The sequence below is a fragment of the Homo sapiens genome, chromosome 3 (assembly GCF_000001405.40).
Source record: "Homo sapiens chromosome 3, GRCh38.p14 Primary Assembly".
NCBI classification, from domain to species: Eukaryota; Metazoa; Chordata; class Mammalia; order Primates; family Hominidae; genus Homo; species Homo sapiens.
The window spans coordinates 9984885-10010000 of NC_000003.12; the positions used below are offsets into that span (position 1 = coordinate 9984885).

Here is a 25116-nt window from a genome sequence, read left to right on the forward strand (position 1 = left end):
GGTGGGATGGAACTTGTTAAAGCCTCTGTTTCTATAAAATGAGACAATATGTACCTCATAGAGTTGCTTTGAAGTTTTAAATAAGTTAATGAATGTAAGTACTTCACATAGTACCTGATATAGAGTAAATGGTTATTATTCTTCTTGGCATAATTGGGAAGAACTAACTGAAAATGTTACAGTAGTGCTTCCTAAACTTCAGTCACTCTCATGCCATGTTAGAATTTTTGTCCAACGCTTGTATCATTACATATTTAATACTTTTTATATATCAACTTTTTTCCCATCTATATGATTTTAAAGGAATCTTTAAATTACCAGCAAATGGAAATCCAGTATTGTCACAAAAAAGAAAGTAACTTAAGTACAGTAGAAACAAAACAACATTATTAAATTTTAACTAGACACTGTTACCTGTGAAAAGTTCTTAGCCTGAGGCTTACTCTCTTTATTAAAACGAGAAATTAATGTGAGAGAGAGGTGCTAAAGATATAGTAGCACTTACCTGAGATGATTTCTGAAAGTAATCAGAACTGACTGAAAATTGCTTGTTTTTCTAAGAGACAAGGTCTCGTTATGTTGCCCAGGCTGGTCTCCCACAATCCTCCTGCCTCAGCATCCCAAGTTGCTGGGAGAAAACTATTACTTTAATATGAGGGGCTACATGTCTAGATAACCACCTATAATCATCTCAAATTCCTTTATCTGTATATAAATATTGCAACGAGGGGCTGGTTGCCATGGCTCACACCTGTAATCCCAGCACTTTGGGAGGCCAAGGCAGGTGGATCACCTGAGGTCGAGTTCGAGAACAGCCTGGCCAAGATGGTGAAACCCTGTCTCTACTAAAAATACAAAAATTAGTCAGGTGTGGTGGTGCGGGCCTGTAATCCCAGCTACTCGGGGGGCTGAGGCAAGAGAATCGCTTGAACCCGGGAGGCGTAGACTGCAGTGAGCTGAGATGACGCCACCGCACTCCAGCCTGGGCAACGAGAGCGAAACTCCGTCTCAAAAATAAGCAAATAAATAGATAAATAAATAAATACTGCAATGAAATATGTGAGGAAGTTGCCTCCACTCTAGTGGGGGGAAATAATTACAATTCCTTACATCTCTAATGGCAGTTTTACAGACTGCAAAGCGCTTTGGTACTTGGCATCTCAGCTGACAGTCCCACCAGGCCCGACGCCTGGAACAGTAATTTGGTAGAATGCAGATTATCACACTCACTTGACTGGATGTTACAAAGACTAAACGCTGTAACGCACCTGGCACTCTTCTCAACGGAAGGGTGGGATGGAATAGTTCATAGGTAAACCCACCGAGGGTCGGCGACTAACCTAAAGGATTAACAGTACTGTTTTTTTCAACACTCAATACGTCCTAGATCCTGTGCTAAGGGACTTACAGACATCACCTAATTTGATTCCTACCTGTCTATGAAGCAGGTACTGTTATCATCCCCATTTCACAGAGGACAAAAGTGAAACACAGAGGTAACGGGTAAGGTCACCCTGTCAGAGGGGGCGCGACGTGAACCTAGGCAAATTGACACAACTCCTGCACTTTTTTGCCCAAGGTCACGGCGGTGTGAGGTAGGCTGGAGAAGGGAGGGCGCTGACCTGTCAGATACTTGTTCCTGGGTGAGCTTCTTGTCGCTCTGCAGCAGGATGGACACGTAGTGGCGGATCATGCCTACGAAGAAAGTGATGATAACGATGGGTAGGACCACCCAGAGGCGGATGTTGGAGTCGAGCAACAGTTCTGGCCCTGCCATCTTCACTGAAAGCTGGTTCCCAGTCTGGAATGGGCGAGCTTCTCTTCTCCGGGGCACAGTTGCTTCTCTTCGGCTTCGCCTCCGGGCCTTCTCAAGCCCCTTTGCCCGTGTACCCCAGAACTCTCCTGCGACTGTGAGCCGAGCTTACTGCCTTCAGCTGGGCTGCCTGGTCTTCCACTTCCGGCGCGAACGTTGACGTCACGTCGTGGCGCACCTCAGTGGCGTCAGAGCGGCGTCGGGCCTGGCGGGAAAGTGGAAAACTATCGGCGGTGGCCCAGGCTCGGTGGCTCACTCCTGGAATCCCAGCACTTTGGGAGGCCAAGGTGGGGGGATCACGAGGTCAGGGGATCGAGACCATCCTGGCTAACAGGTGAAACCCTGTCTCTACTAAAAATACAAAAAAATTAGCCAGGCGTGGTGGAGGCGCCTGTAGTCGCAGCTACTCGGGAGGCTGAGGCAGGAGAATGGCGTGAACCCAGGAGGCGGAGCCTGCAGTGAGCCGAGATTGCTGCACTGCACTCCAGCCTGGGCGACAGAGGAAGACTCCGTCTCAAAAAAAAAAAAAAAAAAAGAAAGAAAACTACAGGCGGGGACGGCTTCTCGGTGAGTAAATGGAGCAGTGGTCGTAGTCTCTCGAGGCCCCGCTCCCCTGCGACCTAATCTCTTAAGTCCGGGCCGCGGTCGGCGTTCTTCTCTGGGGCTCCGCGCCCCAAGCCTCGGCTTCCTCATCTGCCCTGAGATGGGATAGTCCCCACAGGTACCTTTCTGCGTCGTTAAAATGAGGAAATGAGAAAGGCTTTTACCCTCACCCCCTTCCCGATGAACTAGTCCAGGCAGTCGGCCTCATCTCACGTCTGTTGGGCTTCTCGGGAAGCCAAATGGTATCGCACGTGTTAAAGGCGGGTGTCTGGAAGCCGAAAGTCCTGACTAACTGAGAATGTTGACTAATCCGGATAGCATTGAGAAGAGGAAATGGAGCTATTCAACAGATTCATTGATCTATATAAGCTGCTATAAGTTACATTTACTCTTTCTGTGTAGTACCTCACAGAATTCTGAAATTTTGGATATGACATTCTACGACATTGCATTTAGCTATTCTCACAACTCTATTTTTCAAAATGTCCAACGTTTAAAATTTTTTCTTCCTCAGTCTTTCAGGAGATTGTCATGGTTGAGAGACTGGACTGTACCTACCCACTATGAATGAGCAGAACACCATAGCTAATATTAACTTTCTGCAGGTAATCTCTGAGCTTCGGGAGAAGTTGGATCCTGCAGCATTGTGTTTTGCCATCACTGTTGCAGGCTTTCCAAGTAAAGTTAAAAAGTAAAGGACAAGCAAGGTAAAGAGCTCATGGATAATTGCCACCCTTTTCCTCACATAGGATGTCACAGTTCTCTGACATCCCACAGTCAGAGTTGGAGCTTAATACTTACAACTACAAATAATGGTACTATTATGATATTTACATCTAGTATTATATCGTTTTTCAAATTACGTATATGTATGTGGCTATGTATGTGTTCATATGTTTTCTTAGCCATTCAGATCAATCCCAGGCAGACTACAGTGCAAGTTTATTAGCCATCTTATACATGAGGTTGTCATTTACTCCAGGGTACATGGCTACTAAGCAGGAATTCACATCTTGTAAGTTCTTTTCTGGTAGGTAGAAGAGTAATTTTTTTCCTCTCTGCTACTTGTAATTCCTCAGGAAATCAAGAAAGCAGCGGTCAGAACCGTATTATTCTCTTTGATGTAATAAAGTCAGCTATTAGATATGAGAAAACCATTTCAGAAGCCTGGATTAAGGTGGGATCTTTGGAACTTTGATTATCAAGGAGGAAATGAGTGGCAATTAGTGACAGATGTATAACTGAGGTAGATTGAAATAAAAATCTCAAAACTCATTCAAGTGGAAATGATAGCTGATGGTTGCCATATGGACACATTGGCTCTTAGATGAGATAACAGGGCATGCTGAATAAGGTGTAACGTGTTTCGCTGATGTGTCATAATATTTTTGTGACTCTCCTGTTTTTTCAGGCAATTGAAAACACTGCCTCAGTATCTGAACACAAGGTAATGTTCATGTACTATGCATTTTCAGTATTGCAGACTTAAAAGTAATGACATTGGCTAGCTTGCCTTCCCACTGTCTTTCTTTCTCCTCCCTCCAGTCACTCTTCTCTCTCTTCCCTAGTTGCTCTAATAAACATTAGCTGTCTGGGGAAGATAATCTGAGGTGGCGACTGGCCAGATAGCCTGCCCCTACTCACTCTGGCTATAAAATAAGCCTACAGTATCCACAAGGGGAAATACTAACAGTGTAAACAAGCACATCAAGGTGCAGTCAAAGAAGCCAGGTCCCCACTGATGAGATGAAGAAAATAACCACCTAAGTCTCAGGTCCCTATATCTGCCTAATTGCCCTTCCTTCCACCCAGCACCACTGTCAAGATAATGGCATTCCATGTTTTACTTTACTTTGCTCATGTAGACCTGACTAGAGTAAATCAGTCTGTCCACTGTCAAAGCAGTGGTACTGGATCTTATGTCTCTATTAATTCTAGAAATACCTTCCATCAAAAAGCCAGATGATTGGCCGGGCACGGTGGCTCACGCCTATAATCCCAGCACTTTGGGAGGCTGAGGCAGGCGGATCATCTGAGGTCAGGAGTTTGAGACCAGCCTGGCCAATGTAGCGAAACCCCGTCTCTACTAAAAATACAAAAAAAAAATTAGCCTGGCCTGGTGGCACACGCCACTGCACTCCAGCCTGGGCGACAGTGCAAGACTCCATCTCAAAAGATAAAAAGCCAGATGATTGAGTTCCTTAGGTGCTGATTGGTTGCCTTTAAAGATTTTTCTTTGGTTGGAATCTGTTTTGTGGGATTTTTGTTAGTTTTGTTATCCAATTTTGGGATGACTATCTTAAAAGCTTTCATGATGATGAATAAAGCAATGAAAAAAATGAATAACTTTTTGTGGTGAGAAATATCAAAGTACTCCAAACACACTGTTTTTGGTTTTAGATAAACACAAATTTAACACCTTGACTGCCTGCATACCTATTTTTACGTATTTGTAATCATTTTATAAATATAAATATAATTTGTATTCTTTTTTCTCAACATTTTCTTCTCCATGTGCTTCTGCTTTGTCTTCATTGTTATCTTTAATGACTGTATTCTGGTCTAATGACTCTAAATTTTGGTGTCCTAAGAAGTGGAGCATTCAGTTAAGAGAAGTAGTAAAATTTGTTTTTTCTTTTTTGTCCTGCTTGCCTTTTTAACTTTTTTTTTTTTTTTTTCCTGGAAGCATAGACTCAGATTGCCCTGAATACACTCCCAGTGTTTTCTCTTTTTTTTTTGAGACAGAGTCTTGCTCTGTCACCCAGGCTGGAGTGCAGGCAGTGGCGCAATCTCAGCTCACTGCAAGCTCCACCTCCTGGGTTCATGCCATTCTTCTACCTCAGCCTCCCGAGTAGCTGGGACTACAGGCGCCTGCCACCACGCCCGGCTAATTTTTTGTATTTTTAGTAGAGATGGGGTTTCACGTTGTTAGCCAGGATGGTCTGGATCTCCTGACCTTATGATCCACCTCAGCCTCCCAAAGTCCTGGGATTACAGGTGTGAGCCACCGTGCCGGGCCTTTCTCTTTTTTTTTTTTTTTTTTTTTTTTTAAGAGACTAAGTCTTGCTCTGTCACCGAAGGTGGAGTGCGGTGACAGCATCATAGTTCATTGCAGTCTCAAACACCCGGGTTCAAGCGATCCCCCCACCTCAGTCTTTGGAGTAGCTGGGACTACAGGCAAGCACCACCAGGCCTGGCTAATTCTGTTAGTTAGTTAGTTAGTTATTTTGAGAGAGTTTCGCTCTTTTGCCTAGGCTATAGTGAAGTGCCACAATCTCGGTTCACTGCAACCTCTGGCCCCTGGGTTGAAGCAAATCTCCTGCCTCAGCCTCCCTAGTAGCTGGGATTATAGGTGCCTGCCACCATGCCTGGCTAATTTTTGTATTTTTAGCAGAGATGGGATTTCACCATATTGGCCAGGCTAGTCTCAAACTCCTGACTCAGGTGATCCACCCACCTGCCTCAGCCTCCCAAAGTGCTAGGATTACAGGTGTGAGCCACCACGCCTGGCCAATTCTTTTATTTATTTATTTATTTATTTATTTTTTGAGACGGAGTCTCGCTGTCGCCCAGGCTGTAGTGCAGTGGCACGATCTCGGCTCACTGCAAGCTCCGCCTCCCGGGTTCACGCCATTCTCCTGCCTCGGCCTCCTGAGTAGTTGGGACTATAGGCGCCCACCACCTCGCCTGGCTAATTTTTTGTATTTTTAGTAGAGACGGGGTTTCACCATGTTAGCCAGGATGGTCTCGATCTCCTGACCTCGTGATCTGCCCGCCTTGGCCTCCCAAAGTGCTGGGATTACAGGTGTGAGCCACCGCGCCCGGCCATTCTTTTATTTTTTATAGAGATGAGGTCTTGCTGTGTTTCCCAGGCTGGTCTCAAATTTTTAGCTTCAAGTGATCCTCCTGCTTGGGCCTCCCAAAGTGCTGGGATTATAGGCATGAGCCACTGCACCCAGCCCTCATATTTTTCTTTTTTAAACTTAGGTAAACAAGCTAATTGTGGAGAAAAATCCACAAGGAATCTACAGATGTAAAAAATACAGTTTTTCTCTGCTCTCTTTCCCATTCCTCAGGGGTAATCATCCTTCCAAATTTTTTCTCTTCATATACAAGCTGTAATTGTGTGCAAGTACAGGTATACTCTTATGCCTACACATATATATGTTTATATATTGTTTTTACAAAAGCAGAATCTTAACTATGATTATGGGTGGTGGTGGTGGTGTTTAAAGAGACAGGGTCTCACTCTGTCGCCAGGCTGGAGTGCAGTGGCACAATCGTAGCTCACTGTTGCCTCCACCTCCTGGGCTCAATGATCCTCCCTCCTCAGCCTCCCAAAGCAGTGGGATTATAGGCATGAGCCTTCATGCCCAGCCTGATTATCCTTTTGCAGGCTGCTGTTTTTTCCACTTCATATCAGGAATGTCTTTCCTCTGTCAAAAAATAGAGTATGGCTCAGCAGTCCCTAACCTTTTTGGCACCAGGGACTGGTTTCATGGAAGACAGTTTTTCCACAGACCGTTTCGGGGCATGATTTCAGGATGAAACTGTTCAACTTTAGATCATCAGGCACTACTTAGATTCTCATAAGGAATGTGCAGCCTAGATCCTGCGCATGTGCAGTTCACAATGGGGTTTGCGCTCCCGTGAGAATCTAATGCAGCCGCTAATCTGACAGGAGGCGGATCTCAGTGGTAATGACCACTTGACCACCCCTCACCTCCTGCTGTGCAGCTTGGTTCCTAGCAGACCACAGACTCCGTGATCCAGGAGTTGGGGACCCCTGATCTACCTTTTTCTTTTTTTTTTAAATTTTGTAATTAAAAAGTCTTTTTTAGACAGAGTCTCGCTGTGTCACCCAGGCTGGAGTGCAGTGGCACAATCTCGGCTCATTGCAACCTGCACCTCCCGGGTTCGAGTCGTTGACCTGCCTCAGCCTCCTGAGTAGCTGGGATTGCAGGCAGTTGCCACCACGACTGGCCAATTTTTTTTTGTATTTTTTAGTAGAAATGGGGTTTCACCGTGTTGGCCAGGCTGGTCTCGAACTCCTAACCTCAGGTGATATGTGTACCTCAGCCTCCCAAAGTACTGGGATTACAGGTGTGAGCCCCCACGCCCAGCCTGGCTTATCCTTTTTGATGACTATAATATTTCAAAAATTAAAATTACTCCATCATAATTTACTGAACCCTTTCCAGATTGATGGGCATTTATAGTCTTTCCAACTTTTCACAAAGTAATTTTTCTAGTAATAGTGAAAATACATACTGGAGTTGGCAAGTGATTGAATCTTTTAATAAATGTGAAGATGTTCAAAGTTACTTCTGTAGTAGTATCACTTTAATGTATATTGGAATGTATTCCTAAGAGATACCAGTGGTTAATAGTTGTGGCACTTTATTTCTTTAAAAAATATTTCTGGGTTTTGTGAAAAGTGTAGATACTACCAGGGGAGTGTGTGGAACAAATGAGCATCATCCATTGTGTGTTTTAATTAGAGGAAAAGCTGCTGTTTCATTGTAGCAAATGTACTGATTGGTTAACTGTTTTTCTATTATTGCATATTTATTGACCTGGTGATGCTTTTCATCATCTATAGCACCAATACTCAGACAAAGAAGTACATTGAAAGGGTGCTAAGAAATAAGATTCGATCAGGCTGCATTCAAGAACAGCTGCTCCAGAGTACATTCTCTGTTCATTACTTAGTAAGTGTCAGAGACTATTGATTTTTAATCTAAAACAGAAAGCTTTACAGCTCTCATGTAAAATTTCATCTTATTTCAGTCCATTGTTCAAACCCATTGAAATTTTTGAATTTTATTTTTGCATTAACATTTTAATTGTCTATCTCAATGCAGTTTGCAATTATGACAAACTAGCCTTTCGTATCCTATTCTAAGTAGCTTATAAAAACCTTGAGGGGAATAGGACCAGGCTGTAGAAACTAGTAGAAACGTAAATATGGACCTATTTGAACTATCACTCTTTGGCCATTCAAAACTGGATTTTAGGTGATAATTCCTCTGGAAATGTAAATTATTCAAACTGGAATTTATAAACTGGGAATAATGTTTTGCTGGCTGAACGTTCAGTATATTAACAGTATAGAACTTAGAAAACTGGATGGGCCAGTAGTTTGGGGTTTGGGTTAGGAGCTAATGAGAATACCTCATTGGATCTTACATTTTATATTTAGGAATAGATTTAATGTTTGTCTTATTTCATCTAGCAGTTCTTTTCTGTGTTTATTTCTGCCAGTTATATGTGTTTTGGGCTGTAATTTTCTAGACACGGAAACCATATGTAATTTTTCATTGCATTTTCCCCAATAAAGCATTATACCCAGCTTACTACTAAATGTAAGATTTTTTAAAATTATGGTATCAATAAGGAAGCTATGTTTATTAACTGGTTATTTACTCTGGGTCCATTAATGTCTATATATTGCATTATTGATAGAGCATGATCACTTCTTTTAAAAAAGTCAGTTTAGTTAGCATTGAACCTTATAGACCAACTTCAAATTATAACCAAGGTGGAACATCCCTGGGGGGTCGTGTGATTGCATGAGGAAACCGGGATTTAGAAGATCTGGCCTCCAATCCCAAATCGAGCAGATAGGAATGTACTATTAGGCTTATAACTTAACTTCTTTGAGCTTAACAGTCAATTAATATCCAAATGTGGACTCCCATTGATCCTGAGAGAAAACTCAGAATGGTGAAGGATTATTCTGTGTAAAACAAAGATTAAGATTTCTTAAGTTAAAATGAGAGTTGGGGAAGAGAAGTCTGATCTGACATTCCAAAAGGATAAGCAACTCTTAGGTTGTGTACTGTTTCCTACAGCTTCTTTTCTCTCTCTACTCTTCCCCACTCAAGGTTCTTAAGGATATGTGTTCATCCATTATGTCGCTGGCTCAGAGTTTGCTTCACTCTCTAGACTAGAGTAGAATTTCATTTGGCAGTCTCCTATACAAATAATGTGTTTATGTTTTTTGACACATACTGCCAGCAGGTATGTTGAAATACTTATTTTGGCAAGGAGGGAACAGAGGAAGGAAGAATCATCTAATGCTTATTTTTTGTTGGTTGGAACTTACTGAAGGGAAAGTAGCTCTGAACTGGGTCTCAGGAAAGCTCAATTTTACTCCCAGCCTTGATGAAATGAAGAGATTTGACTGGTGGATCTAACTCTGTGTTCTGAACTCTAAAATTCTCTTGTCTGAAATTAAGATACAGATTTGGTCTATTTCAAAACATGAGACACTTTTTTTTTTTCAAGACAGAGTTTCGTTCTTGTTGCCCAGGCTGGAGTACAGTGGCGCAATCTCGGCTCACTGCAACCTTCGCCTCCCGGATTCAAGCAGTTTTCCTGTCTCAGCCTCCTGAGTGGCTGGGATTACAGGCGCGTGCCACTATGCCCAGCTAATTTTTTGTGTTTTTAGTAGAGACAGGGTTTCACCATGTTGGCCATCCTGGTCTCGAACTCCTGAGCTCAGGTGATTCACCTGCCTCGCCCTCCCAAAGTGCTGCAATTACAGGCATGAGCCACCGTGCCTGGCCGAGACACATTTTAATAGCATATATCCAGAGAGAGAGGACTGTATTTGTGGAAAATGTTTATGAAAGCAAGTAAAGCACAGTGTCTTATTTTGTATTTGTACATATATTCTTCCTATTAGCAATGTTAAAACGCATCTGAATGGAACTTTTAAAATGAAGATTTGTAAAAAAAATTGTAAACATTTAAAATAGAGCAGTAGTTGCAGCTGACATGAGGTAGCTGTTGTAATTGAGAATTCTGTTATGACTTATGGAGTGACGGTATAAAGGGAGAATGGCATCTAAGACATTTCTGGACCCTCTTAATGTCTTAGAGACACTGTCATGATCCATGTTTGCTTGGAAACATGCAAATCTAGCCTGTACTATATGGAGAAAACCTTTAAAGCTTTTAGCTCCTTGAGTGGCATCTTTTTGAGGAATTTCAACTGATCTTGTACAACCTCAACCTAAAGGGTAAAATTTAACCCATATGGGAAAAAGAAAGAGGAAAACTACGCCCAGGAGCAAAATCAGGAGGGCTTAGGTAGAGCTCACTGATAAAATATGGGAAATAGGTCAAGACGGGATGGTCAAGTTACACTGGCATATTCCTAAATCTCCTGAAGCCAGCATTACTAGATAATAGATGATGGGACTGGGTTGATTGTGATTTTAACGAAGTAGAGATTGGAGAGGCCTCGGTGGTGAATCCCCTTAGAATGGCCATCCAGTGGCAAACAGAATGAAGCCAGCAGCCACATCCAGGTAAGAAGCAATATGTTGGGAAAGATTCTGTTTTTTGAGACGGAGTCTAGCTCTGTCACCTAGACTGGAGTGCAGTTGGCGCTGTCTCAGTTCAGTGCAACCTCTGCCTCCCGGGTTCTAGCGATTCTCCTGCCTCACCCTTCCAAGTACCTGGGACTACAGGCACGTGTCACCACAATCGGCTGATTTTTGTATTTTTAGTATTTTGTGTTTTTAAACCTCTTTACTTGAAATTTGCTGGAAAAAAAAAAAGCAAATGATAGATTTGCTGTGTAAAATAGTGGAAATGGAGTACATAGCCATAGTTCGAGCATTTTTTTATTCTTACCACAAACATTAAGTGCCTATTCTGTGCCAGGCACTGATACATTAGATCCTCTGCCCTCAAAAAGCTCTGTCTATTAGGGTAGAGATGGGTCTGTGGTCAGCTAACCATGAAACTGTTCAGGTTCTGAGTGCAGTGGGGACACAGAATTGCCTTGTTTTCTAAGAAACATCTCCATCTAATGTGAACTTCACGTGGGCTTGCTTTTGTTTGTGGATGCCATTCACTGAAAAAGCCAGGCTGTAATCCCAGCACTTTGGGAGGCCAAGGCAGGAGAATCACATGTGCCCTGGAGTTTGAGACCAGCCTGGGCACCATGGTGAAACCCCATCTCTACAAAAACATACAAAAATTAGCCAGGTGTGGTGGCACACACCTGTAATCCTAGCTACTCAGGAGGCGGAGGTGGGAGGATCCATTGAACCCAGGGAGTTGAGGCTACAGTGAGCCATGATTGTGCCACTGCTCTCCAGCCTGGGCAACAGAGTGAGACTCTATCTCAAAAATAGACACATAAATAAAAATAAAACAAAAAGAAGAGATTAGATTGGAATCATAACTTGTAACTCATTTGTATCTTTAGTGCTACCTTATGGCAGTAATTCATACTGGACTGTGACTTTGAACAACTAGTATATTTTTTATCTTCCCCCCTGCCCTTTCTTGGATCCCCAGTCAACACATTTTTTTAATTAAAAAAAATTTTGGACTAGGTAATATACATGTGTCAAAATTCAAAACATATAGAAGAGTATCCAGTGAAAAATAACTCACTTCTTCTCAGTCCTCTAGGCACCTGGTTTGTCTCCCACAGGGACAATCACTTTATAACCTTCTGAGATGTTCTGAGAATTTACAAATTTGTGTTTACCTGTAGTTTCCTTTCCCCTCTTGTTCTATATCATACCTTTTGCATTTAGCAGTTTATTTTGGAGATTGCCTTAAATCAGTAATATAAAGTTTCTTCATTATTTAATTTTTAATTTTGATATAACGTAAAATATACCATTTAAACTGTTTTTAAGGGTACATTTAGTAGCATTAAGTATATTCATAATGTTATACAACCATTACCACTATCCATTTCTAGAACTTCTGATCATCCCAAACAAACTTTGTACCCATTAGGCAATAATTTGCCATCTTCCTCTCCCCAGCCCCTAATAATCACTAATCACATTCTATCTATGGATTTGTTCATTCTAGATGCCTCATATAAATGGAATCATAACAATATGTATCCTTGTGTCTTGCTTATTTCACTTAGCATATTATTTTCTTTTCCTTCTTTCTTTTTTTTTTTTTGTTAGTAGAGACGGGGTTTCACCGTGTTAGCCAGGATGGTCTCGATCTCCTGACCTCGTGATCTACCCGCCTCGCCCTCCCAAAGTCCTGGGATTACAGGCGTGTGCCGCCACGCCCAGCCAGCATATTTTCAAGGTTCATGTATGTTGTAGCATGCATCAGAACTTCATTCCCTACTACAGCTTTAGTAATTCCATTCTTTGTTTTTGTTGTTTTGTTTTGTTTTGTTGAGACGGAGTCTCACTCTGGCCCCCACGCTGGAGCGCAGTGGCACGATATCAGCTTACCGCAACCTCTGCCTCCTGGGTTCAAGCAATTCTCTTGCCTCAGCCTCCTGAGTAGCTGTGATTACAGGCGTGCACCACCACACCCAGCTAATTTTTGTATTTTTAGTCGAGTTGGGGTTTCATCATGTTGGCCAGGCTGGTCTCAAACGGCTGACCTCAGGTAATCCACCCTCCTCGGCCTCCCAAAGTGCTGGGACTACAGGCGTGAGCCACTGCGCCCGGCCCCCATTCTTTGTTTATACCACATTTTTTTTATCCATTCATCCATTGATGGACACTTGAGTTGTTTCCACCTTTTGGCCATTTGAATAATGTTGCTATGAGTATTGGTTTACAAATATTTGTTTGAGTCCCTGTTTTCGGTTCTTTAGGGTATATAAGAGTGGAATTGCTGGATCATGTGATGAACATATGTTTACCATTTTGAGGAACCACCACCGCTTTCCATAGCAGCTGCATAATTTTACATTCCTACCACCAATGCACGTGGTCTCCAATTTCTCCATATTCTTGCTAACATTTATTTTCCTTTCTTAAAAAATGTTTTATGGCCGGGCGCAGTGGCTCACACCTGTAATCCCAGGACTTTGGGAGGCCGAGGCGGGCAGATCACGAGGTCAGGAGATTGAGACCATCCTGGCTAACATGGTGAAACCCCGTCTCTACTAAAAATACAAAAAATTAGCTAGGCGTGGTGGTGTGCGCCTGTAGTACCAGCTACTTGGGAGGCTGAGGCAGGAGAGTGGTATGAACCCGGGAGGCAGAGCTTGCAGTGAGCCGAGATTGCGCCACTGCACTCCAGCCGGGGCAACAGAGCGAGACTCTGTCTCAAATAATAATAATAATAATAATAATAATAATAATAATAATAATTTTGCTTTTAATGAATTAATAATTTAATTTTTTTTTTTATGTATAGGATCTTGCTCTGTCACCCAGGCTGCAGTGCAGTGGCGTGATCATAGTTCACTGCAGCCTGAAACTCCTGGGCTCAAGCAGTCTTCCCTCCTCAGCCTCTTGAGTACCTGGGTCTACAGGTACCTGCCACCTCTCCTGGCCCTATTTTTTAATTATAATTATCCTGATGAGTACGGAGTGATACCTCATTGTGGTTTGATTTGCATTTCCCTAATGACTAATGATGTTAAGCATCTTTTCACATACTTCTTGGCCATTTCTATATTTTTGTAGACATGTCTATTCAAGTCCTTTACCCATTTTTGTTTGTTTTGTTTTTCAGAGATGAGGTCTCACTCTGTCACACAAGTTGGAGTGCAGTGGTATGATCCTGGCTCACTGCAACCTCCACTTCCGAGGCTCAAGCGATCCTCTCATGTCAGCCTTCTGAGTAGCTGGGACCACAGGTGCGCACCATGGTGCCCCGCTAATTTTTTGCAATTTTGGTAGACATAAGGTTTCGTCATGTTACCCAGACTGGTCTCGAACTTTTGAGCTTAGGAGATCTAACCACCTCTGCCTCTGAAAGTGCTGGTGTTACAGGCACGAGCCACTGTGCTCAGCCCTTTGCCCGTTTTTAAATTGGGTTTTTGTCATTGTTGAGGTATAGGAGTTATTTATATATTCTGGATATTGATCCCTTATCAGACATATGATTTGCAAACATGTTCTCCCATTCTATGGGTTTTCACTCCCTTGATAGTGTCCTTTGATGTACAAAAGTATTTAGTTTCGATAAAGTCAAATTTATCTTTTTTTTTTTTTTTGGAGATGGAGTCTAGCTCTGTCACCAGGCTGGAGTGCAGTGGTACGATCTCGACTCTCTGCAATCTCTACCTTGCGGGTTCAGACAATTCTCCTGCCTCAGCCTCCCGTGTAGCTGGGACTATGGGCCTGTGCCACAACGCCCAACTAATTTTTGTATTTTTAGTAGAGACAGGTTTTCACATGTTGGCCAGGATGGTCTTGATCTCTTGACCTCGTGATCTGCCTACCTCAGCCTCCCAAAGTGCTGTGATTACAGGCATGAGCCACCACATCTGGCCTTATTTTTTATGTTATTTTATTATTTTTTTGATCTGTGATTTTCTTAATTATTTTGAGTCGTATGATCACACATAGTTTTAAAGTGTGTATTCTAATCATTTTAAGTTGGCAAAAGCACCATTCCCAATCACAAATACGCAGCAGTTTTATGTTTTCGAATGGTTCTTTAAAGACAATCCTGAATCATAACTTAGTTTGAGTTAGAGTGTAAAGAATTCAAGAGTGAAGTTTAACTTGTTACTATTTTAAAAGCATGTGACCTTATAGATCATGTATAAAATGTGAGAAGTGTTAAATAATAAACTAGACATTGCTACCTTATTTTCCTTCAATCCTAGCCTTTAAGAGGCAAATGAACACCAAACACAGTTGAATCTTGCTTGGTTCTAAGACAGTGAGGAAATTTCCCCAGTATTTAAATATATTCACATAACCAGTTAAATAAATCTAAATATAAAACCAATCTCCATTAAGTTTTTGTTGTTGTTGTTGTTTTTATTTTTTGGGGTTTTTTTTGAGATGGAGTCTTGCTTAGTCATTCTGGCTGGAGTGCAGTGGCGCGATCTTGGTTCACTGCAATGCACCTCTGCCTTCCGGGTTCAAGCAGTTCTCTCTCAGCCTCCCAAGTAGCTGGGATTACAGGTGCCCACCACCACGCCTGGCTAATTTTTGTATTTTTAGTAGAGACGGGGGTTTCACCATGTTGGCCAGGCTGGTCTCGAACTCCTGAACTCAAGTGAACCACCCGCCTCGGCCTCCCAAAGTGCTAGGATTACAGGCATGAGCTACTGCGCCCGGCCTCTATTAAGTTTTAAGATGGCACTCACCATCTTTGTGAGAAGTTGAACATTACTAACAAAGTCTAATCATATTTTTAGAAGGGGTAAACAGTGATACCATGTTCTGAATTGGAATTACTATTAAAATTCAAAAACTGAACATTTAACCACAAGCTAGTCTTAGTTTTAAATCACAACTGCCCAACAAAATATTCTGTCATTTATGATCTGATTTCTGGTGTATGAGATCTATTAAAGTATGGTACACATAAAACAGTCATGAGACATTTGTTTTGTAATAAATAAGGCAGTGGCCAATTATTACTCATTAGTAGCTTTTTTAAGATAAGCTATCAAGCCTGCCCTTTCTGCCTTCTTCTTAATGCCGGCAAAGATCATTTTTCTTCCATACCCTTGGGATTCTCCAAATACTCCACCAGTGTATCCTCTCCCCAGGTGATGCCTTTGTTCTTATTGGTGTCTGTGTAAGAGAATCCAACAGCCTGACCTGTCTTCCGCCCGAAGAGACCTTGGAGATTAGGCCTAGTCTTGTGCTTGCCTCCCTTTTCCACGGTGTGGCACTGGGCACACTTCTGAACAAAAATCTTGCTTTTCTCAACATCACTTGTATTTAATTCTCTTTTTAGTCCCTGGGGCCACGAAGGTTGCCACTCCAAAGCCGGACAACCCACTCTTTACTTTTTTTGTTGTTGTTGCTTGTCCTTTTGGTTGTTATGCTTAAGATACCATTGCCGAATCCAAGGTCATGAAGGTTTTCTCTTATTTTCTTAAATTTAGGTCTTTGATCCACTTTGAGTTAATGTTTGTGTATAGTGTATTTTAAGGATTTAGCTTCATTCTTTTGCATATGGATATCCAGTTTTTCCAGTTCCATTTGTTGAAAAGATGGTCCTTTCACCACTGAAATTATTTTGGCACCCTTGTCAAAAATCAATTTGTCGGCCGGGCATGGTGGCTCACGCCTGTATTCCCAGCACTTTGGGGGGCCGAGGTGGGCGGATCACGAGGTCAGGAGATCGAGACCATCCTGGCTAACACAGTGAAACCCTGTCTCTGCTAAAAATACAAAAAAAAAAAAAAAAAAAAAAATTAGCCGGGTGTGGTGGTGGGCGCCTGTAGTCCCAGCTACTCAGGAGTCTGAGGCAGGAGAATGGCGTGAACCTGGGAGGTGGAGCTTGCAGTGAGCCGAGATTGTGCCACTGCACTCCAGCCTGGATGACAGAGCAAGACTCCGTCTCAAAAAAAAAAACAATTTGTCACATATATGAAGGCTTATCTTTGAACTCTGTATTCAGTTTCATTGGTCTATGTGTCTGTCCTTCTGCCAGTACCACACTGTTTTGACTACTGTAGCTTTGTATTAGTATTGAAATCAGGGCTGGGTGCTGTGGCTAACGCCTGTAATTCCAGCACTATGAGAGACCGAGGCGGGCAGATCACGAGTTCAGGAGACTGAGACCATCCTGGCTAACACGATGAAACCCCATCTCTACTGAAAATACAAAAAAAGTTAGCCAGGCGTGGTGGCGGGTGCCTGTAGTCCCGGCTACTCAGGAGGCTGAGGCAGGAGAATTGCATGAACCCAGGAGGTGGAGCTTGCAGTGAGCCGAGATCACGCCACTGCACTCCAGCCTGGGTGACAGAGTAAGACTCCATCTTGAAAAAATACATATATATATATTGAAATCAGGAAGTGTGAGCCCTCCAACTTTGCTCTTTTTCAAGGTTTTGGCAATTTGGGGGTCCCTTGAAATTCCATGTGAATTTTGGTATGGATCTTTCTATTTCTGCAAACTATGTTGTGGGACTTTGATAAGGATTGCATTGAATCACTTTGAATGGTATTGTCACATTAAGAATATTGAGTGTCTTCCAATCCATGAAGACAATAGCTCTTTCCATTTATTTATGTCTTTAATTTTTTTCAGCAGTTTCTTTTTTTATTTTATTTTATTTTATTTTATTTTGAGATAGTGTCTGGCTCTCTAACACAGGCTAGAGTACAGTGACACAATCTTGGCTCACTGCAGCCTTGACCTTCCAGGTTCAGGTGATCCTCCCACCTCAGCCTTCCGAGTAGATGGGACCACAGGCATGCACTGCAGCTGGCTAATTTCTGTATTTTCTATAGAGATGAGGTTTTGCCATGTTACCCAGGCTGGTCTTGAACTCCTGGGATCAAGCAATCCACCCGCCTCAGCCTCCCAAAGTGTTAGGATGACAGGCATGAGCCACCGCGCCAAGCCTTGCCTTTATGCTTAAATACATAAAGACCCTGTGGCCTCCCCCTCCACCCAGAGCAACAGCAGCAGTGGTGAAGACCCAGAAACATCCCTGGCTCAACAAGCCCCTGAGCATCACCCTGTTATTTATTTAGTAACAGAGTATGCAAGAGGAGGAGACCTGCACAACTGGATACACCCAGAAATGTCCCTGGCTCAACAAGCCTTCCAGCATGACCCTGTGTCTTCCCCCTCCACGCAGAGCACCAGCAACAGTAGTGCAGACCCAGAAACCTCCCTGGCTCAACAAGGCCCCCAGCATGACCCCATGGCCTTCCCCTCCACCCAGAGCACCTGTAGCAGTGGTGGAGTCCCAGAAATGTCCCTGGCTCAACAAGCCTTCCAGTATCAGCCTGTGGCCTTCTTCTCCACCCAGAGCACCAGCAGCAGTGGTGGAGACCCAGAAACATCCCAGGCTCAACAAGCCGCCCAGCATGACCCTGTGGCCTACCCCTATACCCAGAGCAACAGCAGCAGTGGTGCAGACCCAGAAACCTCTGGCTCACCACCTCCCCAGCAACACCCTGTGGCCTTCTCCACCAAGAGCACCAGTAGCAGTGGCAGAGACCCAGAAATGTCCCTGACACAGCAACAACCATCCCAGGAAGCCAGTGTCATTCAGGCTGGGCAGCCCAAGGCTTTGACTTCAGCCTTGCCAATAAGGAGGCTGTGACTGCCGCAGGGCTGCCAGGGGATGCACTTCCATTGTATTAAAATGTTTTTGCCTGTGTCCACCGCCGAAAAGGAGGAATAAGATGACCCCAACATAGTTGCACGGCTGAAGACAAAAATCAAGTTGGTGGGGTCAATATTGTTACCATAGTCACTACACTTAGAGTAGTTTTATAGTCAGTGTAGACAGGTGGCACCATGCAGCAGGGATCAGCCTCCACCACACCTGACCAGGAGCTCCAGAACTGTAAAATCCTGGACACCATTGGCCGTGGCACGTTCAGTGAGGTCCAGGATCACATGCTGATTGGGACCCAAATGGCCATCAAAATCATCCCCAAGGCTGGCTCCCTTGGCATCACTCTCCAGAGAGTGATAAGTATTTTAAAGTTACTCTGTCACTTCAATATTGTACGGTTGTATCAAGTGATTGACACCCCCAACACCAGTTATTTATTTAGTAACGGAGTATGCAAGAGGAGGACACCCACGCAACCAATACACCACCATGGCCTCATGAGGGAGGAGAAGGCCTAGACCATGTTCAGGCAGATTCTGTCGGCCATGCAGTAGTGCCATAGCAAATTGCGCAGAGACCTGAACCCAGAAAACATCATCCTTGATGAGGACGGTAACGTTAAGATCGCAGACTTCGGCTTTGGTACCACATTCCATGATGGGCAGAAGCTGACAGCCCTTTGTAGCACTTAACCCCTACATGGCCCTGGAACGTTTCCTAGGCCAGGGCTACCAATGTGCCACCATGGATATTCAGAGCCTCAGAGTAATTTTATACCACATGGTGGCTGGGGTTCTGCCCTTCTGCTCATGCAGCATTAGGGTCCTCTCAGCAAAAATTTAAAGTGGAAGCTATTTTTCCCCAGTCTACTTTTCCTGAGGTCTTAAAAGCCTCATTAAAAAACTATTAACAGTAGACCCCAGGGAGCAGACCACACTAGAAGAAGTTATGAGGGACCCGTGGGTGAACAGTGGTCAGGAGTTGCCTCTGACAACATGAAGAACAAATCCTGGACCACCTGAATCCCAAAACAACCCAGCTTTTGGTGGCCATGGGATTCCAGGCTGAGAACCTATCTGTGGCAATCAAAGAAAAATTATTCAGTTATCCCATGGCCACCTACCTTGTTTTGGAACAAACAAAACAGAAGAAGCGGTCCACTATCAGACCACAGACCCTTCCTCCTGGGGATCCCACTTGTCCTCTCTACATTGAAGTTTCCACCTTCCCTCTTTCACTGAAGCGGGCTCATAGCATTCAGCAGAAGACTGTGGGTGCCAAGTCTGGGCAGGGCCTTTGCCCTTGGGAGTCCTGTTTTAGACCCAGCTCCACCACGTGGCCCTGGCCTCTTCTCTGCCCTGTCTGTGCTTGCAGCCATGGTGCCCAGTCTGGCCCCACCAGGAGACACCAGAACGACTGTCCATGTGTCTACTCCTTGGCACCTTCCCCGCATGGTGGGTAGATGGGCAGGGAGGGGTGGGAATCTGTGTAACCGTGGAAGGGAACGGCCCTCAGACCCAGAGGGTTTGGAGCCTGGGGTATTGTCACCGACAGTGGCCTTAGCCTAGCTAGCACAGTTAGTGCTGTGCATCACAGCATAGCTTTTAGAGGCAGGATTTGTAGTCAGTATAGTTGGGAGGCACCATGGAGCAGGGATCACCCTCCACCTCACTTGACAAGGAGATACAAAACTATCAGTTCATAGACACCATCTGATAGGGAACTGGCTCAGCATAGGCCAACTGGGACCCAGGTTGCCATCTTGAAGACTTTCCATCACCCAAATATCATTCAGCTCTTCCAGGTGGTGAGGGAGTAAACCAGAGGAGGAGAGTTGCACCACCAGATATACCACTATGGCCACATCGAGGAGGAAGAGGAGGCCCGGACCATGTTCAGGCAGATTCTGTCAGCCCTGCAGTACTGCCACTTAAAAAAAAAAAAAAAATCACACATCCAGACCTAAAGCCACAAAACATCCTATTCAAAGAATGAGGCAACATACATTGTGGACTTTGGCTTCAGTACAACATTCAGAGAGGGGCAGATGCTGACAGCTTTTTGTGGCATGTACCCCTACGTGGCCCCAGAACGCTCCCTGGGCCAGGCATGCCAGTGACCCGCCAGGGACATACAAAGCCTCAGTGTCATACTGTATTTCAGGAATACAGTAGGTAGAAGGGCCAGGACTTTGCCCTTTTACTCAGGGAAGCCTCCAAACTTCAAGAAAAAATTCTCACAGGAAGATACCATGCCCCACCACTTCTTGCCCTTCAACTTGACTCATTAAAAAATTACTAATGCTGAACGCCAGGAAGTGTCCTTCACTGTAACTGATGAAAAATCCATGGGTGAAAAGTAGCCAGAAGATGCCACTGATACCATACGAAGAGCCACTCCTGGACCACCCCAAACAATCCAGCTCATGGTGGCCATGGGATTTCAGGCCAAGAACATCTCTGTGGCAATCATAGAAAGAAAATTCAACTATCCCATGGCCACCTACCTCATTTTAGAGCACACAAAACAAGAGAGGAAGTGCTCCACCATCAGAGAACTGTCCCTTCCTCCCGGGGTTCCCACCTCTCCTTCCCCATCCACTGAACTTTCCACCTTCCCTCTCTCACTGATGCGGGCTCATAGGGAGCCAGCTTTTAACGTTCAGCCTCCCGAAGAAAGCCAGATGTCAGGGCAGAAGACCGCCATTCTTGCCAGTACACCTGCCAGCCTACAGAGGAAGCCAGATCGGGGAAGCCAGGAAGTTTTAGTGAAGCCCCCAGCATGACCCTATTGTCTCCCCTTTCACCCAGAGCACCAGCAACTGGTGAAGTCTTAGAAACGTCCCTGATACACCAAAAACCATCCCAGGAAGCCAGCATCGTCCAAGCTGAGAAGTCCAAGCTGAGAAGCCTGAGGCTGTGACGTCAGCCTGCTCGGCAAGAAGCTGGGGCTGCCGCAGGGTTGCCAGGAGATAGATGCCTTTGCATACTATTAAAATATTTTTGCCTGTCTCTACCAAAGAAAAGGAGGAATAAGATCGCCCCAACATAGTTGCATGGCTGAAGACAAAAATCAAGTCGTTGTGGTGGTCAAGCCACAATTCCTGCATTTTACATTTCTTCTGTCTTTATTGTATTGCTTCAATTGGCAAATCATGCTTGTATTCATTCATGGGGTACAATGTGGAATGAGGAAATCCCACTACTTAGCATCTCCACTACCTCAGAGAGACCAATTCCACGTGAGGTCCCAGAAGTGTTGATCTAAACAAGTTGACCCCATAGAAGTAGCAAGTAGATCGATGGTGACCAGGGGTCAGAGAGTGGCAGAGGGAGGGAATGGGAGGGGGGTTGTCAGTTAAAGGACCAAAGTCTCAGGGAGGAGGAAGAGGTTTTGACATGTAGTGCACAGCAGAGTGACCAGAGTCAATGAGAATGTGTTGCATTTTGCAAAACACCTGAGAGAGTCCATGTCAAATGTCTCTCTGCATTTAGATTGGAGAGGACGAAGGCCCTGAGGTCCAAGAACATTGAAACCTGACAGTGGATGCCAATGGCTGTGGGGAGGAGCTGGGCGAGGCGCCCAGGTTGTCGTCTGCCCGGCAACGTGGGAGCCTGCAGCACTTTCCTGCAAAGCTCTATTTTATCTTTTTAAATAAAAATGGTTACTGATAAGTGACCGGTTCTTGCAAATCTTGTAGTAACATTAGGTGGCAAATGGGTCACAGACACTCTGCTGCTTTGCACCCTCTTTGCACAGAACGAGGGCTGTGCACACCCTAGTTTAGGCGGCATGCAGTCAAGGATTCCTGTCAGTTACTCAGAAAAACTGCAAGAAAAAGCCACCTCAGAGAAGTATCAGGGTGACCCCACCCACAGCAAATCATTAGTAGTGGCTCTGAAGGGCTGAGGCTCTGAGCAGGTGCAGGGTAGAGTCCCACACATTGTTCATGGCTTCCCCACACTCACACTACCTGGTGAACATTTTCAGAAGGACCAGCAGCCCCTTCAGGTCCCGTCTGCCTGTGTCAATCATGCTGAGAGGTCCCCAGGAGGATCCTGAAGCCCTGGGAACCAGACTGTGCTGGGGTCAGTGGCGGGGTGTGGTCCCCAAAGTGCCTTAGGGGGCCACTTGTTCTGCTGGGCTCCTGGCTGTCTAGTGTGGCATTGGCCTTTCTGCTTCGATGGTTTCTTCTTTTGATAACAGTGGCATGAAGCGCTCCCCCTCAGAGGCCTGACGTAGGAGTGCTTCTGGGTGAGGCAGGCATCCTGGGTGTCAGGGGAGGGTTGATGGCAAGACACAGCAGCAGCCCTGAGGGATGGAGGGGGTGGTGGGAATGGGGGCTTTCATAAGGTAGGTTCCAGCTTCCCAGGAACCCGGTTTGTCCGTGTCTGGCAGTGAATCTGTGGGTGCAGATGCCCATCAGCACCCATCAAGGAGCTTCCTTGTGGGTTCCTAATGAGCTTGAGGTAGGTCCAGAAGGCCCCACCCTTGTGCATGGCCGGCATCTGAGTGTGGCAACCTTGAACATTTGGTTACCCTACCCACTACTGATGGTGGCCAGGGTCAGTCCTGGAGTTCCCCCAGTCAGATAAGATTCTCCTTCCCCAATAAAGAACAGGACCAGGAAGCAAGAAGCAGGCTCAGGAGAGGGTGGGAGTGTTATAGGGCTCCTTGTCTCCCCAGTGAGCTGCTGTCCTTTAAATCCACATTGGGGATGAAGGTCCCTCAGGTGTCAATACTGGATGTCCCTCCACCCAATGCCAGTTTGTACCCCCAGAAAGAGGGCCCCTGTGGGTTCTGCTTGAGCTCCCCAAGGGCCCATCAGAGTCTGTCCCTCCACCTTGCTGCTGTGCCCCCTCTGGAAGTGCTGTCCTGTGAGAGGGCACATTCCCCAGGCGTGGCTTTTACTATCACTGGACGAGGCCAGAATTCTTTCTGGCTGTGACCTGTGGTAGAGCTTGACATCTCCTCTTCAGAAGCCAGGGCTTCCAGCCCATAGAGCTGGGCTGGGTCAAGGGACTATAGGGAAGGGGCTCCAGGCACCAGGGCAAAAACCCACAAACAGAGAAGGTCCTTTCAAGTGTCTACCTGGGCCGGCATGCAGGCCGGGCAACCTTGGCTTGTTCATCTCCCTTTGCTGCCAGCAGCCTCCATATGGCAGACATTCTTCTCCTGGGGGGCTGACAGCCATGGAGGGTGGGGAGCAGGCCTCAGCAGGGCGGGTTCCCAAAAGACAGCCCAGAGAGCAGGGTCAGATAGTGGGGGGTGGGTTCAGCTCCACTGTCCAGGTGAGGAAACTGAGGCTGAAGAGAGATCAAGTAGCATCCCCAGCGAAATCTGGCCAGGAACAGATGGCAAAGATTTGCTGTTTACCCCGTCCCAGGCTGCCCCGCACCCACATAGCCACTTCCCAGTACTCTGCTTTGTCCCCATTCTCAGGTTCTGAAGTCATCCTGTTTTACACCTGTCACCCCTACTGGAACAGGGACCTTGCCTCCCTGACAGCCACACATCTCTGGCACCCAGGAGGCCCTCAATCAGTATTTGTGCAATCAGTGAGACCCTGGGATTCAAGCCCGAGGTGTGTCTGCAGAGCATTGGAAATGCAGCCCTGAGTCCGTCCCCAAGGTTGCCTGATAGAGCAGGCCTGGGGACCGGCAGGGGAAGCGGATGCCTACCGTGACTCTCGGGAAGACTGGTGGGACTATCACTAAGCTTATTTGCCTGTCCAATCTTGGGGATCCTGAGCTCCCTACTGGGCAAGCTCATAGGGGTTCGGCTCCGCTTACGGGTCTCTGGCTCTACCTCCCAGTTCCGGCTCCGACTCAGCCCAGCCTGGGCGGGGCCGTTGGCCGTTGGGAGCCACGCCCCCCGCTGCGTCACTGCCACCTGGTCCCGCCCCTGTCTCCATGACCGCTGGACCAGATGTCAGCAGCTGCTCCAGAGCCTGGTGCATATATATCTTCTATATACTTGCTAGTATCTGTCCCCTTTCCCCCCAGACCTCCTCCTGTGCAACACGGAATGATGAAAATCTAGAAACAGGAATCTCACTCCCGGCCTAGCCAGGACTCAGGTTTTGTGAAGGGGTATGAGGCGGGAGGAAAAGCAAACCCCACCAAACCAACACCTAGTCTAGAGCCTGATCAAAGTGCCACTCAAAGCACGATTCCTCCCTTTACTTTCCTATAACCCGAGAATTCTTCCTGAAAAAGGTGGCCCCTGAGAACCATCTAGAAGCATCACGGGGTGGAGGGGCAAGGGCCCTGAGAGCTGCTCTTGCCATCCCTTGTCCCAGTTTTCTTGAAGCCGAGTTCCAGAGAAGAGGCGGGGCCCGTGGGGCGTTTGGATTACACTCCCAGTCCAATTCACAGTCCAGCAATCCTGCCCTCAGAGGCTCCCTTCATCTGTCCACTTGGCAAAGGAAGGGGCGGGTCAGCCCACGCCCCCTGTCTGGCTGCAGACGACAACCATCAGAAGGGTGTCTGTGTAGCCGGGGCCCCAGAACCATGTCTGCGTGGAAAGGGCCCAAGAACCTGGAGCCCTTTCGGTTCAAGAAGAGCGTGAGGGACCCAGCCCCCTTCTGAAACCTATACCGCATTCTGGCCTGTGCCCTAGAAGGTTGTGAAGGCCTCTAAGTGGGTCCTCCTGCTTCCCCATCTTCTAAGGCCCAGGCCTTTTTCAG

General features: G+C 45.6%; 1 protein-coding gene, 1 long non-coding RNA gene and 2 pseudogenes across 5 annotated transcripts in view, besides 5 other annotated features; 2 read left to right on the plus strand and 2 right to left on the minus strand.

Annotated features, from left to right (window-relative positions):
• EMC3 (ER membrane protein complex subunit 3) overlaps positions 1-25116 on the minus strand; it is a 48437-nt gene that overhangs the window by 22203 nt on the left and 1118 nt on the right. For 2 of the 4 annotated variants that reach the window (NM_018447.4, XM_005265321.4), the window contains exon 2: positions 1623-2018. In NM_018447.4, coding sequence (NP_060917.1) covers positions 1623-1777 — 155 coding nt within the window. In that variant the 5' untranslated portion in view covers positions 1778-2018. Of the gene's footprint in view, positions 1-1622; positions 2019-21532; positions 22740-23519; positions 23769-25116 lie in introns of those variants that run through there. The other 2 variants (NR_148535.2, NM_001394674.1) reach the window with 2 other exon arrangements.
• Positions 1775-2422: an enhancer, noted in NCBI's record as "NANOG-H3K27ac-H3K4me1 hESC enhancer chr3:10028343-10028990 (GRCh37/hg19 assembly coordinates)". NCBI's record gives its function as "activates a minimal SCP1, AML or CMV promoter by ChIP-STARR-seq in primed H9 embryonic stem cells {active_cell/tissue: H9 hESC(primed)}" and the evidence as "EXISTENCE:reporter gene assay evidence [ECO:0000049][PMID:30033119]".
• Positions 1775-2526: a biological region, named in NCBI's record as "NANOG-H3K27ac-H3K4me1 hESC enhancer GRCh37_chr3:10028343-10028990".
• Positions 1887-2046: an enhancer, noted in NCBI's record as "active region_19414". NCBI's record gives its function as "activates an Ori minimal core promoter by ATAC-STARR-seq in GM12878 lymphoblastoid cells {active_cell/tissue: GM12878}" and the evidence as "EXISTENCE:reporter gene assay evidence [ECO:0000049][PMID:35858748]".
• EMC3-AS1 (EMC3 antisense RNA 1) lies at positions 2009-22120 on the plus strand. Its single transcript, NR_103821.1, has 3 exons — positions 2009-2380; positions 3828-3863; positions 17833-22120. It is a non-coding gene; the product is annotated as an EMC3 antisense RNA 1 (long non-coding RNA).
• Positions 2307-2526: an enhancer, noted in NCBI's record as "active region_19415". NCBI's record gives its function as "activates an Ori minimal core promoter by ATAC-STARR-seq in GM12878 lymphoblastoid cells {active_cell/tissue: GM12878}" and the evidence as "EXISTENCE:reporter gene assay evidence [ECO:0000049][PMID:35858748]".
• Positions 7988-9442, plus strand: FANCD2P1 (FANCD2 pseudogene 1; annotated as a pseudogene).
• CYCSP10 (CYCS pseudogene 10) lies at positions 15461-16129 on the minus strand (annotated as a pseudogene).
• Positions 24177-24386: a silencer, noted in NCBI's record as "silent region_14053". NCBI's record gives its function as "represses an Ori minimal core promoter by ATAC-STARR-seq in GM12878 lymphoblastoid cells {active_cell/tissue: GM12878}" and the evidence as "EXISTENCE:reporter gene assay evidence [ECO:0000049][PMID:35858748]".